Source organism: Homo sapiens, chromosome 2 (genome assembly GCF_000001405.40).
Source record: "Homo sapiens chromosome 2, GRCh38.p14 Primary Assembly".
Classification (NCBI taxonomy): domain Eukaryota; kingdom Metazoa; phylum Chordata; class Mammalia; order Primates; family Hominidae; genus Homo; species Homo sapiens.
In genome coordinates this window covers 240568470-240586470 of record NC_000002.12, presented here as the reverse complement: position 1 = coordinate 240586470, position 18001 = coordinate 240568470, and the positions used below count along the sequence as shown (strand labels likewise).

The following is an 18001-nucleotide window of genomic DNA, read 5'->3' as shown; positions in this document are numbered from 1 at the left end:
GCCGGGGTGTCGGGACCGCCTGAACACGCGGGCTCTGGGAGCTTCAGGGACCAGGGAGCCACCTCGGCCGAGTTGCGTCGCAGACTACAGCTCCCAGCATGCGCCGCCGCTCCCAGCATGCACCTTCCTCCCGAAACGCGTCTCTGCTTCCGGCGCTCTGCTGCGGAGGCCGTGGCCGCGGGTAGTTGGGAGGAACCGAGATTTACGCTTGGTAAGGCAAGTTGCGAGCTGTCCGGCGCCGGTCGAGTTCCTGCCGCCGTCGTCGTCAGGCAGGGGAGAAGGGGGCCTCAACCCCTCTAGTGACAGCTGTTTGCTACCTAATAGGGCTTTTCATCCCACCGGGCCCCAGGGCCTTCGTTAGGAGCCCAGCAGGCTCAACTTCTTGCTGTGGTTCTGGAAAAGGGAGTGACCACCTGGCTCAACACCTCTCTCTGTGATGTGTTTGGGAGTTTTGGGAAATGAGACGGCTCCGAGGGAAGAGCTTGAGGGAGCGGCGTCGCACTCGTTCGACCTTCCCGGGCCTGGGCTTTGTTTCTAGGCATTTTAGGTTGAACGCTCTACATCTTAACTGGGGGCAGGGGAGGTGGCCAGAGCATCCCGCTGAGCGTTTTCCGATTCCCCAGATGGCCAGGCACCTGGTCCTGGTGGCTGGACAGTGACCCCGTGGACGCACATTTACAGCTATAGCCATTCAGTGCCGCGGGGAGGTGAGGATAGTGATCCTGGGACCTGCTCGAGGATTCACCCTTGCCCCAAGAACCTGTTCCATTCCCAGGAATGAAGGCGGTCAGGCAGGGGAGGAGAAGGGGGCCTCAACTCTTCTAGTGACAGCAGTTTGCCACCTAATAGAGCTTTTCAGATTTTGCCTCCTCAGGCCATTTTACTCAGCCTCGGACTATCAAGGATGGTCACATTGAAGCTGTTTTTCTGCAGTCAGGAGCGAAAAGTCCCGGCTGTTGAAGGAGAAACTGAATCTGGTTCAGGAGTCCCAGGTTCCTCCCTCTGAGAGGCCAGGTGGGGCCTGCGTGAGTAGCAGTTGTTCAGGTGGCAGGACACTGCTGTTTTCATCCCACCTGGCCCCAGGCCCCTGATTAGGGGCCCAGAGTGCTTATGTACTTGCCTCGGTCTGAGAAAGGGAGTGACTGCATAGCCCAACACCTGTGGGATGCCTCACTGCCCAGATGTTTCATCTCCGGGATGCTTCATTGCCCATTCAGCACCCTCTATGGTGCTGACTCTTCCGGAAGATGTTTCTGATTCCTTGCTAGGCTGGTGGTTGCACCATAGCTGAGAGGACTCAAGAAGAGCCTGGTCTCAGCTTCACCTAGGAGTCCCGGAGGAGTAAGAAACACGTATCTTTCCTGTTCTGGGCACATATGGGTGGGTAGCAGAGCTGAGGCTAGCTGAGGATCCCGACTCTCCTTTGGGAGCCTTTGTTGTGCCGCTCTCCCAGGCTGATCAGATCTGGAGAGCTAACAGCTTCCTGTGGCCACATCTGTGTCCAAGGCTGGGCCCATGCCTGTAGCCAGATTGCCAGGATCTGGAAGGGGCCAAGAGACAGCTGGTGCTGGGTAGGCAGCAGCCCTGTGTCAACCTGCCCCCACTATTACCCCATGCTGTGATTTGCATGTGGTCTGCCCCTGCCCAAAATGGTATTGAAATTTGAGCCTCAATGAGGCAGTGTTAGGAGGTGGTGCCTAGTAGGAGGAGTTTGGGTAATAGGGGTGGATCCCTCATGGATAGGTTAGTGTCCTTTGTGGAGGGGTGAGTTCCCATGAGAGCTGGTTAGAGAGTCAGCCTTCCTGCGGTTGTCTCTTGCTTCCTCTCTCGCCATATGGCCACGTAATCTCTTTGTGCATGCCTCTCCCCTTCTACTTGCTGCCTTGAGTTGAAGTAGCATGAGGCCCTCACCAGGTGCAGCTGCCCAATCTTGAAATTTCCACCAGAATTTTGAGCCAAATAAACCTGTTTTGCTTTTTTAAAAAAATAAATTCCCCCACCTTGGCTGGGCGCAGTGGCTCACGCCTGTAATCCCAGCACTTTGGGAGGCCGAGGCGGGCGGATCACGAGGTCAGATCGAGACCATCTTGGCTAACACGGTGAAACCCCATCTCTACTGAAAAAAAAAAAGAAACAAAAAAATTAGCCAGGTGTGGTGGCGGGCACCTGTAGTCCCAGCCCCTCACTCGGGAGGCTGATTGAGGCAGGAGAATGGTGTGAACCCGGGAGGCGGAGCTTGCAGTGAGCCCAGATCGCACCACTGCACTCCAGCCTGGGCGACAGAGCGAGACTCCGTCTCTAAATAAATAAATAAATAAATAAAACAAACCCAACCTCAGGTATAGCAGTGTGAAACAGACTAAGACATTCCACATGCCCTGTGGTCCCATCTGCTACCCCAGGGTGCAAAGATGTTCCCTCAGCCCTGAAGAATGACATTCCCCCCGGCTCCTGGGATATCTGGAGGGGTTGTAAGCAGCTTGGGTTGGTGAGATAAGGAGTTTGGGGGGCAGCTGATTCATGACCCTGGCCTCCTCAACTGCAGGCTCTTGGTCTGAAGTACTGTAATTAAAGTATGAGAGCCTCGGGGCCCTCACTTCAAGGAGGGAAGAGCATCCCCATGCCTCAGCGTTTGGGGATTGTAGGGAGATGAGAGTCCTTCAGGTGGGACTAGTTCCCGCCATGACCCCACTGCTGGCCAGTGGCCTGAAACGCATCTGACCACTTCTCAGGTTCATGGGTGTTGAGGAGGAGCCCTGTGGAATCAACCCTGTCTGCCTCCTCTTATCCTGCCACTCCTCTTGCTCTGTCTGGATGACTGCCCTTGTTTTTCAAGGGAATGTTCCCTGTCTTCCTCAGCCAGGATTTTTTCTGAACTTGACATCTCCGTTTGTTCAGGGGGCAATCATTGGGCACTTCACTGTGCTGGTCCTTGCATTCTCATGGAGATGCAGAGATTAAAAATTAGTATCTTGTCCACATACTGCCCAGAGTTAGCAAGGATTGCTTTTCTGTGGATTTGTCTCAGGTCGGGCACAGTGGGGGTAGGGTCCTTCTCGAACCTTTTCCTAGCCTAAAGGTTCCAGCTGAATCTTCCCAGGCAGGGCTGAAACAGGAACCATTTTAGGCTTTGCTGCAACCCATGGTCAGTTCTCCAAGAAAAGTGAAGAGGGTTCCACCTGGGGCAGCCCTCAAGGGCTCAGAGGGCCAAAACACACGTACAACATGTTGAGACACTGAGTTTGTGCGATCCCCACACATCTCAGCAGTGAGTATTTCTGCCTCATTTTACCGATGAGGAACCTGAGCTTCAAAGGGAAGAGGTGACAGCTCAGGACCACACAGCTGTAGGTAGGAGGCAGGAAAATAGGGTCTGAGTGCAGGGAACATAGGCTGATTCACACTTCAGTTATGATAGGAAATACCTTCTCCATAGGACATAGGCCAAGCAAATGACTTTGTAACTTCATCCTCTCCATCTGCATAACGTGTGCCCCAAGTAACCAATGGAATCACCTAGAGGGTGTTTAAACTCTCAGAAGTTCTGTAACAGGCTCTCCATCTACATAACGTGTGCCCCAAGTAACCAATGGAATCACCTAGAGGGTATTTAAACTCTCTGAAGTTCTGTAACAGGGCTTTTGTGCTCCTATGCTCAGGCTCACCCCCACACTGTGGAGTGTACTTTCATTTTCAATAAATCCCTTCATTCCTTCTTTGCTCTCTGTGTGTGTTTTGTCCAATTCTTTATTTAAGACGCCAAGAACCTGGACATCCTCCGCTGTTAACAGTAGGACGCATCAACTCCTTAGAGTTGGGGCAGCCAGCATAAAAGGAGGCTGACCTCAGCCCGCTTCATTTACTGCAACGTGAGGAATGGATTCTTTGTTGGCAATATTTTAGATTGAGCTTTTTTTCTCATTATAATACATGCTTAGTAAACAGAGTGGGAATAAATATGGTACATGCTCCTCCTTATAGGAATTTTTTTCCTAACTCTTTGTATGAAGTGGTTTTGTGTTCTTCAACTTTATTGTGAGGATTATGCAGATAGTTTGCACAGTTGACTAGTTATCTGAGGGGAGCATATTTTGGATGTGGGCTATTTTCTGCATTGTGGGTGTTGTATTCCCTCCACACTGGAATTTTTCTGTTTGCTCATTCATTTGGAACAAGGAGAGGTTTATCTGGGCCTGGCTGGATGGGTGGGTGGGTGGTAGTGATCTCCTTAGCACTCTGCCTGTGCCTGTTAAAAGCCCCTCGGATCTGTGCTGGGCCTGGCCACTCTGTGGACACCCTTGCCAAGCTCCACCTTTAGCTGGCATGTCCGTGCTCTTGGGCTTCTCTCTGACCAGGTGATTATTCCGAGAGATGGGGGGTGGGGGGGAGCGGAGACTAACAGCTGACATCAGATTCCTCTTAGTAAAAGGACAGTCTTTGTTAGGAAAAACATCTTGGTGGGTGCTTGAGTAAGAGCCCTGAGGGCATGGCTAGTTGAGGTGGCTTAGCTTGCAGGATGTGAAGGTCTGATGGGAAGGGAAGAGAGATGTGGGGGAGAAAATGGCTGAAGAAATGAGGCTGAGTTGCGGGGTGGGGGCAGATGAAGGGCCATGGAGGGGACCCCTGGAGGGTAGAATGCAGGCAATGTTGAGAATGAGGATGCCTTGATTGACTGGAACTTATTTTTTTTTTTTTTTTACTCTCCACGACCTAATATCCCCAAGTGCATTTTCTGTTCCTATAACAATACCACGGACTGGGTAATTTATAATGAAAATAAATGTATTTCTTATAGTTCTGGAGGCTGGGAAGTCCAAGGGCGAGGGGCTGGCATCTGGTAAAGGCCTTCTTGCCACACCATTCCATGGGGGAAGATGGAAGAGCAAGAGGACACACAGCAAGAGACAGCTAAATTCATTTTTACAACACATGCTCATGATAACGAACCCACTCTGATAATGACATTAATGCATTCATCAAGGCAGAACCCTCATGGCCTAATCGCTTCTTAATGGTTCCACCTCTTAATACCATCACAATGGCAATTAAATTTCAACATGAATTTTGGAGGGAACATCCAAACCAGAGCACTGTTGACTGAGTTTTCATTTTTTATTTTAGTAATTGCTTTTTAAAAAATTTCCAGGGTCTCTGACTGGTTCTTTTTTATAAACTACCTGTTCTTGTTTCATAAGTGCCTCTTCATATGTTATGGTTTATTTCAAAAGTCGTCTTTAGGTCTGAGATTTTGATTATATGTGTTCTAAAGTCCTTTTCTGATTTTTCTGTTGCCTCTGTCTCAGGTGTAAGTTTGGGTTGAGTGGCCTGTTTTCCTTCACACTGTGTTGCTGCCCTGGGCAGGTGATTCTCAGTTGTGCCTTACCTTTACATCTGGAGTTTCCTAATGTTCTGTGCAAAGCATCTGGCCTTAGGAGAGAAACACCACCAATAAGTCCCAGTTAGAGTAGGGATGGCAGAGAAACACTCTGGGAGACAAGTCTGGACTGAACCTGTCATGGCCTGAGGGACTTAGAAAACCTTATTTGGACCTCCAGGGCCTAGAAATTTGCATGGGTCTCCTTCACTGTTTTTTCAGGCTTCAGCTTTCTAATCTATCTCTGTAGAAACCAGTCTTTCATCACGCTTCTTTTCCCTTTTTGAACATCATCTCCTACCTGCCTGACTAGGCCCTAATCCCCAAAATGCAGATCTCTCTCACATTCTGGCCTCAGCTCCGTCGTTGTCATTAGTGCTGTTTGCCATCTGCCCCCGCTTTTGTGCATATGGTGGGGTTGCAGCCCCTGTGGTTGTAGGCCCCTTAGAACTTCCACTGCCAGTGTGAGCCCCTCAACAGCTCTCTTATCCCTGGCAAGGTGCCTGGAAACATTTGAGATCTCTGTTCATCGGTACGGGTCCGAGAGTGGTCACATTGAAGAGAATCCCCCCTTCCCCTGCCAGCCTGAGGTGGGCCTGCAGCATGAGAAAGCTTTGTTGTGTGAGACGTCTGCGCTTCATAGTTGTGTGGCTGGAGCATAACGTGGCCTAATAGAGAAGCTGGCCGCTAGGAGAGGGGTGCTGTGCTAATAAAACGTGCGACCTGCCAGGATTTGGAATGTGGGCAGGCTGTTAGGTGGGGCAAAACATTTGGTAAAGCTCAACTGGGATGACTCATGAGGCAGACCGTGAGCTAAGTGTGCGTATCTAGTGGAGAGGTTGGGAAACAACACTGGCCTGAGTATCGGCCGGAGGCTGCATTGGACAAGGGACTGCAGGGAAGCGACGAGCTAAAAAAAAATTCTGCACTTGCAAGCTGGGTGGAAGAGGAACAAAGGTCAGGAACACAAGGACTTAGGGCTGAAAGAGCCCTCCTGTGTACCCCACGGGCGGGCACAGAGCCAAGACAGATTGTGGTGAGGGTGCCATCCTGGATCCAGATGCCCTCCTGCCCCCAGGGTCATGACGCTGGGCACTGCTGCTGAGTTTCCCAAAGCCAGGTGTCAGGCACAGGTGCGCAGCTCAGCAGCGTCCGGAGGTGGCGCTGTGGGCGTGGCTGTAGGCACGTGGAGTGGAGTCACCCGCAGACCACAGAGTCATTTCGAGAGCTGAATTGCAAAAGAAAGAAGAGCCCAGGATGAAAGTCTGTGACTGCTGGGACTTGAAAACAACCTTGGCGGGGAAGAGGCTGAGAAAGCAGTTCTGCCACTGAGCAGGGCTCCTTTGAGGACACCATCAAGCATGGTTAAGAAACAGGAAAGGGGTCCTCCCAAGGCTGGAGCCCCAGGCCACAGAGAACATGACTTGGGGGAGTGGGGTGTCCACTCCCAGGCAGGGGCCCTAGCTGTGCCTGCCTGGCAAGACTTTAGATGGCCATGCAGCAGGGGCTGCCAGGTGCCCTCCATACCCGCTTTCACAGGGGTTACTGCAGTCATCCTATCCCTGGGTGTGAGGGGCAGTGGCAGTCTTCTAGTTCCTAGGTCTCTGGATGGGGTGGCGCCTCCCCCAGACCTGATGTGAAGAAGGTACATGAAGCAACACATGTAGAGACGGCCCCAGACCCTAGACCAGAGTTGCCACCGCCACTGGAGGGGACTCATATGTCCTTGGGAGGGGAGGGGAGGGGCGGGGCATCCAGAACAGGAAGGAGGGTGAGTGGGACATTTGGTGACTGGGGACTGGACAGTGATGGTATCAGGGTTATTTGCCCAGCACCTCCTGCCCTCCCCACTTCCTGGCTGCCATGTGTGGAGTGGGGCTGTGACTGGGCCTGGCCAGCGGGTTGGGAGAAGAGACGTGCTGCTTCTGGGCCACGGCATGTTGGCCAGGTGTGCGTGGCACTGAGATGGTGGCGCCACATCCTTGGGGACTGTGAAGGGCAGCGACACCTATCGCCTGGGAAAATGGAAATCTCAGTTCTCCAAAACAAAACATGCCTGTCACCTTGTACCCATCTTGGGAAAGGATCACCACTGAGGCCGGGATTTGGCTTAAGCCACAGGTGAAGGCCCAGAGTGAAGGTGACACATGGCTTTCCTGTGACATCCAGAGGCTACTCAGGCCCAGGGGGTCCAGCCAAGGGGCTGGGCAGGATTCGGGGAGCCTGCTCTCGGGCTTATGTATCAGAGGAGGGGGCCACACCCAGCTCCTGACCAGCTCCAGGCCCCAAGTCCCGGCAGGCCAGCCCACCCTACACAGCCAGGAAGATGCAGAGGACAAGAGTCGCGAGAAAGAGCGCAGGAGATCAGGTTTGCAGAGTGGAAGTTTAATGGGACCATCACCGTGATACCCCATCACAGCAGTCCCAGGCTGGAGGCCCCAGGCTCTGGCCGCCTCTCCCAGCATGGTGGGCCTGGAGAGAGCACCAGCACCACCTCCCACTTTCCCTGGGGTATTGCTTTGCCCCTGTGCCTCCCACCCCAGGAAGCTACAAGAGACAGGCTGTCCTGTCCCCACACTCTCCCTGGGTCCTGGGACTCCCTGTTCTGAGGGGCTAAGGTTGCCTGGGGCCAGAGGGCCCTCCCCAGGGACAACCATCCTCTCCCTGTGTCCCCTGCCCCCCACACTGAGGGAATGTCTGTGTCCTTGTTCCTCTGCCAGGGGCCAACTGAGGCTGCCAACCCCAGGGGCGGGGTGCAGGGCTGTGCGGGGAGGGTGGCTCAGATCCCTGCAAGGAGGCGTGCTGCAGGGACAGCACAGCCTGGGCCCCCGGCAGACATTAAGGCACAGTGTGGCGGTCACCATAGGGCTGCTGGGGCCCTTGCCCCGGGGCGGCACCTGGCAGGTGCTGGCATCCGGGGCTAGGCACAGCTGTCAGTGTTGAGACAGGAGGCATGGTGTGTGCGGGCTGGCCCCAGGGCCTGCAGTGCAAGAGAGCTGGGAGTGGGGAGGCCAGGTCCACAGGTCTCTGCCAGACACAAGGAGGTCCCTCTCCCCATTCTCCCTGCCTGGGAGAGCCCAGGGGAGGGGCTTGTGGGCCTGGGCAGAGCTCATGGCCAGAGCCGAGACGCAGTCATGGCAGGCCTGGCCCACAGAAGGCACAATTGTGGTGTCTGGGAGGTCGAGGGTCAGCCCGCCAACAGGGCTAGGCAGACACATTGACGTCCCTGAGAGAGATGGCACTGCTGGGGGCCTCGTCCCCAAGCAGCAGGGCCTGTGCGTCCGAGTCTGTGTCTGCTTCAGCCTTGCCCAGCTCCGTGCTGGGCTCTGAGGCGGGCTCTGTGCTGGAGCCCAGGCCCTGGGACAGGATCTGCTGGATGGCTCTGCGCAGGTTGGGGTGCAGCCGGCCCTGCGTCTGGTAGAAGACCTCCAGCGCGAAGGACTTGAGGGCACCGGTGCAGAGGTCCTCGTACAGCGGGATGGTGTACATGCGTGACATCTGCAGGAGGGGCACTCGGTCACACTGGTGGGCTCCCCAGGCCCCTCGAGCCAGCCCACCCTGCCAGCCCGGCCAGGCGGCCCTCCTGCCCCTGGCTTCCCAGCTTCATCATTAGGGCTGTGGCCTGGACTCCGGTGGCCAGGAGGCCTACCATTAGCCTCCCACCTCCACCCTGCCCTTCCAGGCCAACCATGGAGGCCCCATCTCCAGGGAACCTGGGCTGGAGGGAGCACATACAGGGAGCAGGGCAGCCAGGGCCCACGGGCCTGAGGGCTCTGGCCTCCCTCTGAGGAGCTGGGACGTCCCCTCTGCCCAGACCAGGACGCTGAAGGCCCAGGGCCCAGCAGGCTGTGGTGGCCTGGACCCTAAACTCCTGCTCCCAGCTGGTCCCTTCCACAGTTTCTCCAAGAACTGGTGGAGTCCAGGCTGCCCTCTGGTACCTGCACCCGGTGCATGCCCCCACTCCCAACAGACCCCTACGTCTTCCCCGCCCCATTCTCCAGAATGTGCCTGGCCTGCCCCAAGGGCTCAGACTAGGGAGTCGGGTGGGACTCCCAGTCCGCACGGCTAGGCCGTTCCAGGCTGGCCCCCTGGGCAGGTGACCGCACCTGGCTCTCCAGGAAGCGCCGCACCCTGTGGAGGTCAGGATAGTAGTCGTTGCGGACCACAATCTGCAGCCAGCGGATGCGGATCTCAGCGTTCATCGAGTCCAGCAGGGAGGAGTAGCACTTGGACAGGCTCATCACCACCTCTGCAGCGCAGGGGGCAGGTCAGGGCTGGGCCGCTGTTGCACCCCAGCCCCTGGGCCGCCCCCATCAGCTGCAGGGACTCACCCTGCGGCAGCGGGGACCCATCCAGGAGCCGGTCCAGGAAGAGTGCTGTCTGGAAGGTCCTCCACTTGGAGATGTCAATGGCGCTGGCCGAGGCAGCTGCCTGGTCCAGAGGTTCTGCGGTCCACAGCTGGAAAAGGGCCTCCACGGGCCGGGTCAGGCTGGATCCCTGAGACAGGTCCGGCTCAGCCAGCGGCGGGCCTGTGGCATTGAGCCAGCGCTCGAATTCCAGCCCTAGAGGGGAGAAGTGACCCTGGGGTCCCTGCCCAGGCTAGGAAGGGGCTGCCTGAGCAATCTGCCCAGGAGACCCCAGACCCTGAGTGTGTTCCAGGCAGGTGGCCTGTTCCAGGGACGTGGGCTGTTCAGGAAGGCGGAGTCAGCTCCAGCCAGCACTGCCACTTGAAGCCACTGAAGGGGCTTCTGTGAAGGGGTACAGGGAAGCAGAGACTTGGGTTGGTGACCAAGGGACTCGCACCCACTCCACGCCTCTCCTGGGTGGAAGACAATGAAGTAGTCTAAACCCAACCTCAGTGCTGGTGGAGGCCACCTGCGCCATGAACCAGCAGGGGCGGGATGGGGGCAACAGGCTCTTAAGATGATATTCCTGCTCTTAAAGGGCAGTGCCCATTCCCTACCCACAAAAAGCTCTTGATGCACTTGCTGTACCTTCCAAAACTTGGTGTCACCATGCACAGCCCTCCCAGTGGCACCTCACCACCCTCCAGCAATTCTGGCCTCTCCCTCAATGTCTGAACCCTGCAGTGCCTTCCTGGGCCCCAAGCCCTCAGACCCTCAGGGACACCTTTACAAGTGACACATAAACAGGGCTGGCTGCTGTTCTCCAGCTCCAGGACACCCCCGTCACCCGCCCTTCCTGCACCAGGCCCTTTGCACACCTGGTTTCCATGGCCCGCTTCCTGGGAGTGCCTGACTCGGCCTGCTTAGCCTGTGCCACCGGCCCCAGGGAGGCCCCCAACCCCAGCCCTGTTCTCATAGCATACCAGCCTGGGGCCCACATGGTCCAGCAAGGGTTGGCTGAAGGACAGACAGTGAACTGACAGGGCTTTCCTCCAGGTGGAGTGGCCCCTCAGGCAGCAGAGGCCCCGCCTGCCATCATACCCACGGCTCCCTGGCTGCAGGGTTGGGGGTCAGCCTCACCTGCCCGGCAGTCCACGCTCTGCTCCTTCAGCTCCGGGAAGAAGCTCAGGAAGGAGTCCAGCAGGTCCTGGGCCACCACGCTGGTGAACTTGTACTTCTCCACATAGGCCTGTGTGGCAGAGGTGGGGCCTCAGCAGGCCTGGAAGGGTGGGGCACAGGCAGCCCCACCAGAGGCCTGCAGGGCACTGCAGGGCGTGCGCCAAGGTACGTGCTGGGCACAGGGGCAGCTAGTGGGCACTGCGGAGCCAGCACTTGGCACGCAGGCCCTGCCAAGGGAGCAAACAGGGTGGCAGAAGGGGAGGTGGCAACCCAGGCACTCCCCACAAAGAAAGGCAGACTAGGTCCCAGCCAGGCTCACAGGCCCCTGCCAGTTCCACCCCAACTGCCGCAAGAGCAGGCAGCCCTGTGAGCCGGGGAGGGGCTGGGGGCAGATGGCAGCAGGGCCGTCCCGGGCAGGGGGCTGCTCACTCGGAGAAAGTCATCAAAGCGCTGTGGGTCTCCGCAGAGCTGGGACAGGTAGTACACGAAGCAGTAGCCCTTCTCGTAGGTGAACAGGTTCATCAGGTGGCTGGGATTCACTCCTGCAAGGTGAACACCCACCTGGGCTGGCGTCCGAAACCACCAGTGTCCCGTGGAATAGGGAGGGGCAGTGGTCAGGCTCCGAGGAGCAGCAAGGGCCAAGCGCCACTGTCCCTCACATGTCCAGATGTGTACTGATGCCCTGGGCGTGCAGCGGCAGGGCCTCGGGGAAGACTGAGGACTCACACACCACTGTGACTGCTGCTCAGAGCCAGGGAAGCGGCGGTGGCTGTGGGAGCCTGGGGAGGCCTTGCCCTGGCCAGGGGCTCCCAGCTTGGCCTTGGCAGGGGTCCAGGCACAGTGCAGGACAGAGAAGCCACAGCCAGAACACACGAAGGGCAGGCAAGGAGGCCTTGAGGGGTGACATCCCCAGTTGTGGGAGCGGGTCCTGAGGAGCAGGTACCTGGCTCCAGCTTGACCTGCAGTTTGCTGACCGGGCTGTCCTCTCCCAGAAGCTTCATCTGCCGGTGCAGGGCGTCCAGGCGGAAGGCAGTCTCCAGGCAGGTGAAGGCAGCACCTGGATGGGGTCCGGAGACAGAGGAGAGGTGAGGGGGTGTAGGGGTCGTCGGGGGAAGCAGGAGGTGTGGGCACCTGCAGCATGGCAGGGGGGCCAGGCTAGGCTCTCTGCCCCTGGACCAGTGCCCAGGGCCCCCCGTGGCTGCCCTCCCCGGCCCTGGCCGCACCGTAGGTCTCGGTGGTGATACGGCGCTGGGCATAGGTGGCCAGGCCCTCGCTCAGCCACATCTCTTCCCACGTGGCGTTGGTGACAGCGTTGCCGAACCAACTGTGGGCCACCTCGTGGATGACATCGATGACCAGGAACTCATCGCTCTCCAGGATGGAGGAGATGATGAAGGTGAGGCAGGGGTTCTCCATGGCCACGATGGGGAAGGAGGGTGGCAGGAAGACAATGTCGTACCTGCACCGGGAGGGCGGTGAGGGTGGCAGACCTCGGGGCTCAGACTCCCACCCTGCACACCCGCACCCCACCTTCCACCCAGCAGGGATCAGCCCAGCCCCTGCGGTGAGCTCCGCTTCCTCCCCAGGAGATGGGGACAGGACACCCCAGGGGTCAGACGAGGGGCTCCCCCTCTGACTCCTCCTTCCAGCCAGCCAGGTCCACAGGTCCCCGGGGCCTACCTGCCCCACATGTAGGGCCCATACAGCCGCTCAGCTGCACTCAGCCACTGCTCCACTGCGCCCGACAGCTTGCTGGTGGCCGTGGGCAGGAGGCATGGCTCGGCCCACACGCGGCTCCTGGTGCATGCAGAGAGGGTGAGCTGAGGCCGAGCAGCCCCAGCCCCGCTCACCCCACCAGGCTCTCCCACTGCCCTGGGGCTCCAGTAACACCCACACCTCACCCAGCCTGGCTGACCACCCCAGCCTACAGCCCGCCCTGCCTCACTGGATGGGCAGCCACCCTGGCCCTTCCCACAGCAGGGCAGAGCTGCATTCCAGGGGCCACGTAGCTCATTTTATCTCTGGGCTGAAGGGACCAACGAAGGTATGAGGGTGCCAGGCTGTGCGGGGGCCTTGGCAGGAAGGACCAGTTTGCAGGGCAGGCACTGGGTGGGCCAGGCTGCCGGGTCTGAGGGCACATGGGTGGCAGGGCCCTGGCGGTGGCACCAAGGCAGGGGCAGGGCTGGCCCAGAGCACCCAGAGGCCAGTGGGGGTCCTCAGCAGGGCAGCCGTGGACACAGGCCACAGACCCCCGGTGGGGCTCTCCCCGAGGCCTGCGCAGCCCCAGAAGGCCCCAGCAGGAGGCCCTACCTGGGCCCGATGTCTGCCGGCTTGAGGTCTCCGGCCACCAGGGCCACGAGGTAGGCGGGCACGGGGTGCTCCATGTGGAAGTGGAAGACGCCTTCTTCCTCCATGTATGCACTCCGGGTGGCACTCATCAGCACCTGCACCCCCGATGGCGCCTGTAAGGAGGCCGGACTGAGACCGGGTGGCCCCACCGTCAGCACACCCATAGCCCCGGCCGGGGAGCCTGTCAGGCAGCCCCATATTCGTAGCAGGAAACCCTACATCCCCATCAGGGAACGTTTCTGTCAGAGAACTTCTCTCCGAAGAACTGCCACCCTCCATTCGGAACCCCTAGCTCCCAGCCTGCAAACCTCGTCCCAGCACAGAGGGTGCTGCCAAGTTCGGGCCCGGTGACCCACAGACCCCACTGGGGATCAGCAGCTCTGTCGGGAGACCCCTTGTCTGGGGACCCTGCAGTGCCACTGGGGACTCACCCCGGGTCCAGGACCCCGACCCCTCAGGCCCGTTGGAGGCAGCCCGGCTTCCCCCGTTCCCTGCAAAGCGGCTCCTCCCATAGAGTAGGGAGGGTGGGCTCCTGCTAGCACTGTGGCCTGCTGGCAGCTGGGGCCACAGCCCAGGCAGGTAGGAGCAAGGGGGAGGCGGCGTGGCCAGGCCACTGGGCTGTCCTGGGAGCAAGGTGACGGCAGCTGGCGGCCCCTGACCTTGACGACGGCAGAGTAGGTGCACTTCACGGCAGGTGTGTCGAAGCACGGGAAGAAGGAGCGGTTGCACACGGAGTGGCCCTGGGTGAAGACGAAGGGCTTGGCGCAGCCATAGGTCAGCTCTGGGTCCAGCCACCAGATCTGTGGGCAGGATGGCCCATCAGCAGACGGCCACCCAGCTAGGGTGCTGGGCCCTAGCCACTGGGCAGCAGCCTGAGAGAAGGCAGGAGGCTCTGGGAGGGGACAATGGCCAGATTATCTTGCTGGGTTCGAGGGCCAATAGCCACCCCTTAGCCTTCACTTGCCTGCCTGGGCAGGGAGACATCCAGGGCAGGTGACCCAGGGTGTGGCCTGCACTGTGTCATCAGGGCCAGACCCCAACCCAGGCAGGAGGCCCTGTGTCAGGTAGCCGATAGGGGCATCTCCCAGCTAACGCCAAGGCGAAAAAAGGGAATAGCCCATCATTGCATTATCTTAGCTTCCATAGGGAAACTGAGGCACAGTAGGGACACACTCAGTCCAAATTCCCAGCAGTTGATTTGGTCATGGTCAGGAAAAGGAGGCTGGGATGTGGAACCTGGGAAGCCAGAGCCTCCTGATGGCTACGCACTAGCAGGCAGCACGCCCGGGCCCAGAGCCACCCTGAGCCCAGGCAGCCTCGCCTGGAGGGACCCTGCAAGAGACAGGCTCCAAGCCAGGGGACAGCAAGCAGGGAGTGGAGGCCAGGCCAGAGGACCCTGCTGGCAGGGGACAGGAGCGGCCAAGGGAAGGATGGCTGGGGCCGCTGCCTGGAGGCCGGGGGCTGCGGTGAGTGCTGTGGAATGGGTGCGCTCACAGCAGCTGCTACCCACCTAAGGTCACCCCCCCGGCAAACCTCTCATCTGCACCAAAGCTGTTGAGGCTTTCCTCACCCCTAGATGCCGAGGCCAGGCCCCAGCCCCACTGAGAAGCCTGCACACCCGGGGCCCTCCTGCCACTATCCTGCTGCACCCGTCTCATCTTCCTTCCAGGAATTCTGACCTCTCCAGTGAGGGCAGCTCAGAGTCTGGGAGGGGGACCCTCTTCCAACCACAGCCACATCACCTTCGTCCCAAGTCAGCCCTGCACGTCGTATCCACCCTCCCCTCTGCCGGAATGAGATAGTCAAGGCAAACTGAATTGCTCTTCGTGCAGAGGCCCTCCCATGACCATGAGTAGAAGGTGCCCCCAACATGCTTCTAAGACTGGACAAGTGGAATCCACAGCTGAGGCCTGGAGGATCCCAGACCAGGAGGGCTGCCTCCCCCGCAGTCCCGGCCAGACCCCTGCCAGCATTCTCAGATCTCTTCCAAACTTCCTGTTGGTGCCCTGGCCCTGCTGGGCAGCAAGGTAGCACAGGCGTCTCCCATTCCTGCTGAGCCCTGGGCTGCCAGGGTGTTCAGGGCCCACCTGGGGAGCCATTCACAAACGCAGCCTCCCCCTTGGGGGGGGCTGGGACCTGGGAATCTGTATGAAGGAACCTCCCTGCAGGAGTCTCCCCAACCCTTCAGCCTGCACGGCCCCCTCACAACTACTCCTCTCCTGTGGCCTTGCCTCACCCTCCTGAGGCCCTTCTCAGGCTCTGCCCACTCACACCTCTCCCTACTGCCCCATGTCCACCCCACAGCCTCAGTAGCCTGGGTGTCTTCCCAGATACCAGCAGGGCCCACAGCTCCCCACTTGCCCTGAAGTGAGGGGCTGGGGCAGACCCCCAGACAGGACAGGCCCTGCCCCACAGATGGGGCACCAATCCCCGTCAGGGCACCCGGGCACAGGTGCTGATGGGCTGGTGGAAAAGGAACAAGGCTGAAGGGCTCCAGACGCTGCAGGGCAGGAAGAACGCTGTTCTTGCTGGGGTGGGGTGGGGGTGCGGGAATGGGCCCAAGCATCTGCAGCACCTCCAAAAAGCCTCTGGGGGCCTGGGGCCCACTGGCAGGGCCTCCCAGGGAGCTTCCGCTGCATCCTCCCTGGCACAGGGACAGGCTTAGGGATTTGGGCCTGAGTCCCTGGAACATGCAGGAAGAGAAGGGGACTCTACGTGTGGCCCCAGCCCCATGGCGCTCACATACAAAGGTGCATGCCTGAGGTTAGAGTCGAATACTCTGCCTTCTGCAAGTAGGGCGGCTCACAGGCCAGGTGACGCTAGGCCCCCTGTCCACAGCCTGCCAACCCTGACACCACGCAGACTTGGGGGACTATGCCACTCTCCCTGCCCAGAGTACCCAAGGGCCACCCAGTAGGCCATAGGAAGCCAAGAGACAATGGCCACCCTTGCTCACTGGGCCCCGTTCACAGCAGCCTGCTGAGGGCCCTGGTCCGGCCACTCTGCAGGCCAGTGTTGGGCGGACCAGACACGTGGGCTCCAAACACGGATCAAGGCCAAGGAGAAGCCCATCCCTCAGTTCTCACCTGTCATACTGGGAGGCATACTTGCCACCGGTCAGAGCCCTGGAATACCACAGCAGGGGCGGGGCCGGCTAGCCAGCGGCCTGCACACCCACAGGGGTTCTGGGAAAAAGGTGAGGTGGCAGGTCCTGCTTAGGGCTCCTGGGAAATGTACAGGAAGCCCATAGGGGTGCACTGGTCTGGGTTCTTCCTGCCCAGATGTCACCTTGGCTCTTTGTGGCCTGAAGCCTCTCGACCACCTCTCCACCACCCTGTCCATTTATGTGCCGTGACCAGTGACAGCTGGACTTCCCAGCGCCTCCACAGCTGTGTGTGTCTTGCATATGTCGGGTGTCACATGTGTGCCGTCCATACCACCTAGGGATGCAGTATGAACCCCCATGCTGTAGGCAGGAAAGGCCCTGCTCCATCCTGTACACATCCCCACTGGTGGAGGTGGAGGGGGTGCTGCAGCCACAGCGCCAGCCTCAGCCACCTGGCCTTTCTTGCAGAGTCTCTGGAGTGGTGGGTACCCAGTGTGCAAGCCCTGCAGAGCCTATGTGTGTCTATGTTGGGGTCGCGGGGCCCACTGGTCTCAACACTCCACCAGTGCTGGCCAAGGAAGCCCCAAACCGAGCATCACAATCTCCATGGCCCTTTCCTCTGCCTCTGGCTTGGACTCATCTGCACGCACTGGTCACATGGAGGCCCTTCCGCAGCTGACACTCCAGCCCAACCCTTGGTGCCAGGATCCTGCAGATGTACACCTCGGTGGGTGACAGAAGCTGCTCATGTCCCCAGGCAGGGACCAGACACCTGAACGGGAGGCTTCCCGGAGTGACATGCTGTCCCGTGTCCCCGCAGGACTCCGGCTTCTATCCGAGGGTCCTAAGGGCTCACAGGCAACAGCTGGGAATCACCGGGGTGGGGGGAGGGGGGCACCTGTAGGGCGCAGATTCGCGTCCCTCAGCCTGGCCGTGCGGCGAGAGGCCGCTAGCAGCGCCCTGCGGACCGGCCCGCAGCCCCGGCGCCCGCCCCGGACTCACGGCGGGGGCGTCGGTCGAGGTGTACCGCAGGATGACCTGGAAGGGCTGGTGCGCCTGCAGCTCGGGCGGCAGCGTGACGGTGAGCGAGGAGCCGTAGTCGGTGAACGGGTCCACCCTGAAGGCCAGCGGACAGCAGGCGGGCTCGGAGCCGGGCGCCTCGGGGAAGGCGGGCAGCGGGGGCGGCGGCGCGGGCCCCGGCCCGGGGGCGGAGAAGGCGAAGGCGCAGGGCGTCTCGGCGGCGGCGGCGGGGGCGCGACGGAAGGCGGCTGAGTGCAGGCGCAGAGCCGGGTGCGCGTCGAGCACGAGCGCGCGGGGCGCGGGCCGCAGCGCGCACAGCTCGAGCACCAGGCAGCCGGCCAACTCGCGCGCCTCGGGCCGCAGCTCCAGGCCCAGCTGCAGGTGGCGGAGGCGGAAGAGCTGCGCGCTGGAGGCCGAGGCCACGTCCAGGGCGGGCGGCGGCTCGGGCGGCGGGCGGACGGGCGCGGCCTCGGCGCCGGGCGCCTGGCGGCAGCAGCACTGCGCGGCCATGGCCGCCGGCACTAGGTGAAATCCATGGGCGGCGGCCGCGCCGGGCCGCGGGCGAGGGGCGCCGGGCGGCGGCGGCGGCGGGGCGCGGGCACAACAGGAAGTCGCGCCGGGAGCCGC

The 18001-nt window shown here is 59.9% G+C and overlaps 1 protein-coding gene and 1 long non-coding RNA gene across 2 annotated transcripts, besides 12 other annotated features; one reads left to right on the top strand and one right to left on the bottom strand.

Annotated features, from left to right (window-relative positions):
- Positions 11–190: an enhancer, noted in NCBI's record as "active region_17406". NCBI's record gives its function as "activates an Ori minimal core promoter by ATAC-STARR-seq in GM12878 lymphoblastoid cells {active_cell/tissue: GM12878}" and the evidence as "EXISTENCE:reporter gene assay evidence [ECO:0000049][PMID:35858748]".
- CAPN10-DT (CAPN10 divergent transcript) lies at positions 155–3721 on the top strand. Its single transcript, NR_103792.1, has one exon. It is a non-coding gene; the product is annotated as a CAPN10 divergent transcript (long non-coding RNA).
- Positions 1181–1550: an enhancer, noted in NCBI's record as "active region_17405". NCBI's record gives its function as "activates an Ori minimal core promoter by ATAC-STARR-seq in GM12878 lymphoblastoid cells {active_cell/tissue: GM12878}" and the evidence as "EXISTENCE:reporter gene assay evidence [ECO:0000049][PMID:35858748]".
- Positions 1921–1990: an enhancer, noted in NCBI's record as "active region_17404". NCBI's record gives its function as "activates an Ori minimal core promoter by ATAC-STARR-seq in GM12878 lymphoblastoid cells {active_cell/tissue: GM12878}" and the evidence as "EXISTENCE:reporter gene assay evidence [ECO:0000049][PMID:35858748]".
- Positions 5099–17987, bottom strand: RNPEPL1 (arginyl aminopeptidase like 1). Its single transcript, NM_018226.6, has 11 exons — positions 17357–17987; positions 13908–14048; positions 13210–13361; positions 12580–12696; positions 12123–12358; positions 11843–11956; positions 11329–11441; positions 10861–10969; positions 9706–9936; positions 9481–9623; positions 5099–8872 (listed from the first exon to the last, which is right to left on the bottom strand). The coding sequence occupies exons 1-11, from the start codon at positions 17882–17884 to the stop codon at positions 8579–8581; spliced, it is 2178 nt and encodes a 725-aa protein (NP_060696.4). The 5' UTR covers positions 17885–17987; the 3' UTR covers positions 5099–8578.
- Positions 6348–6467: an enhancer, noted in NCBI's record as "active region_17403". NCBI's record gives its function as "activates an Ori minimal core promoter by ATAC-STARR-seq in GM12878 lymphoblastoid cells {active_cell/tissue: GM12878}" and the evidence as "EXISTENCE:reporter gene assay evidence [ECO:0000049][PMID:35858748]".
- Positions 6965–7259: an enhancer, noted in NCBI's record as "tiled region #11586; K562 Activating DNase unmatched - State 5:Enh". NCBI's record gives its function as "activates a minimal TATA promoter and a strong SV40 promoter by Sharpr-MPRA in K562 cells {active_cell/tissue: K562}" and the evidence as "EXISTENCE:reporter gene assay evidence [ECO:0000049][PMID:27701403]".
- Positions 16263–16901: an enhancer, noted in NCBI's record as "H3K4me1 hESC enhancer chr2:241508987-241509625 (GRCh37/hg19 assembly coordinates)". NCBI's record gives its function as "activates a minimal SCP1, AML or CMV promoter by ChIP-STARR-seq in primed H9 embryonic stem cells {active_cell/tissue: H9 hESC(primed)}" and the evidence as "EXISTENCE:reporter gene assay evidence [ECO:0000049][PMID:30033119]".
- Positions 16851–17030: an enhancer, noted in NCBI's record as "active region_17402". NCBI's record gives its function as "activates an Ori minimal core promoter by ATAC-STARR-seq in GM12878 lymphoblastoid cells {active_cell/tissue: GM12878}" and the evidence as "EXISTENCE:reporter gene assay evidence [ECO:0000049][PMID:35858748]".
- Positions 16851–17540: a biological region, named in NCBI's record as "H3K27ac-H3K4me1 hESC enhancer GRCh37_chr2:241508348-241508986".
- Positions 16902–17540: an enhancer, noted in NCBI's record as "H3K27ac-H3K4me1 hESC enhancer chr2:241508348-241508986 (GRCh37/hg19 assembly coordinates)". NCBI's record gives its function as "activates a minimal SCP1, AML or CMV promoter by ChIP-STARR-seq in primed H9 embryonic stem cells {active_cell/tissue: H9 hESC(primed)}" and the evidence as "EXISTENCE:reporter gene assay evidence [ECO:0000049][PMID:30033119]".
- Positions 17301–17350: a silencer, noted in NCBI's record as "silent region_12520". NCBI's record gives its function as "represses an Ori minimal core promoter by ATAC-STARR-seq in GM12878 lymphoblastoid cells {active_cell/tissue: GM12878}" and the evidence as "EXISTENCE:reporter gene assay evidence [ECO:0000049][PMID:35858748]".
- Positions 17591–17780: a silencer, noted in NCBI's record as "silent region_12519". NCBI's record gives its function as "represses an Ori minimal core promoter by ATAC-STARR-seq in GM12878 lymphoblastoid cells {active_cell/tissue: GM12878}" and the evidence as "EXISTENCE:reporter gene assay evidence [ECO:0000049][PMID:35858748]".
- Positions 17921–17980: a silencer, noted in NCBI's record as "silent region_12518". NCBI's record gives its function as "represses an Ori minimal core promoter by ATAC-STARR-seq in GM12878 lymphoblastoid cells {active_cell/tissue: GM12878}" and the evidence as "EXISTENCE:reporter gene assay evidence [ECO:0000049][PMID:35858748]".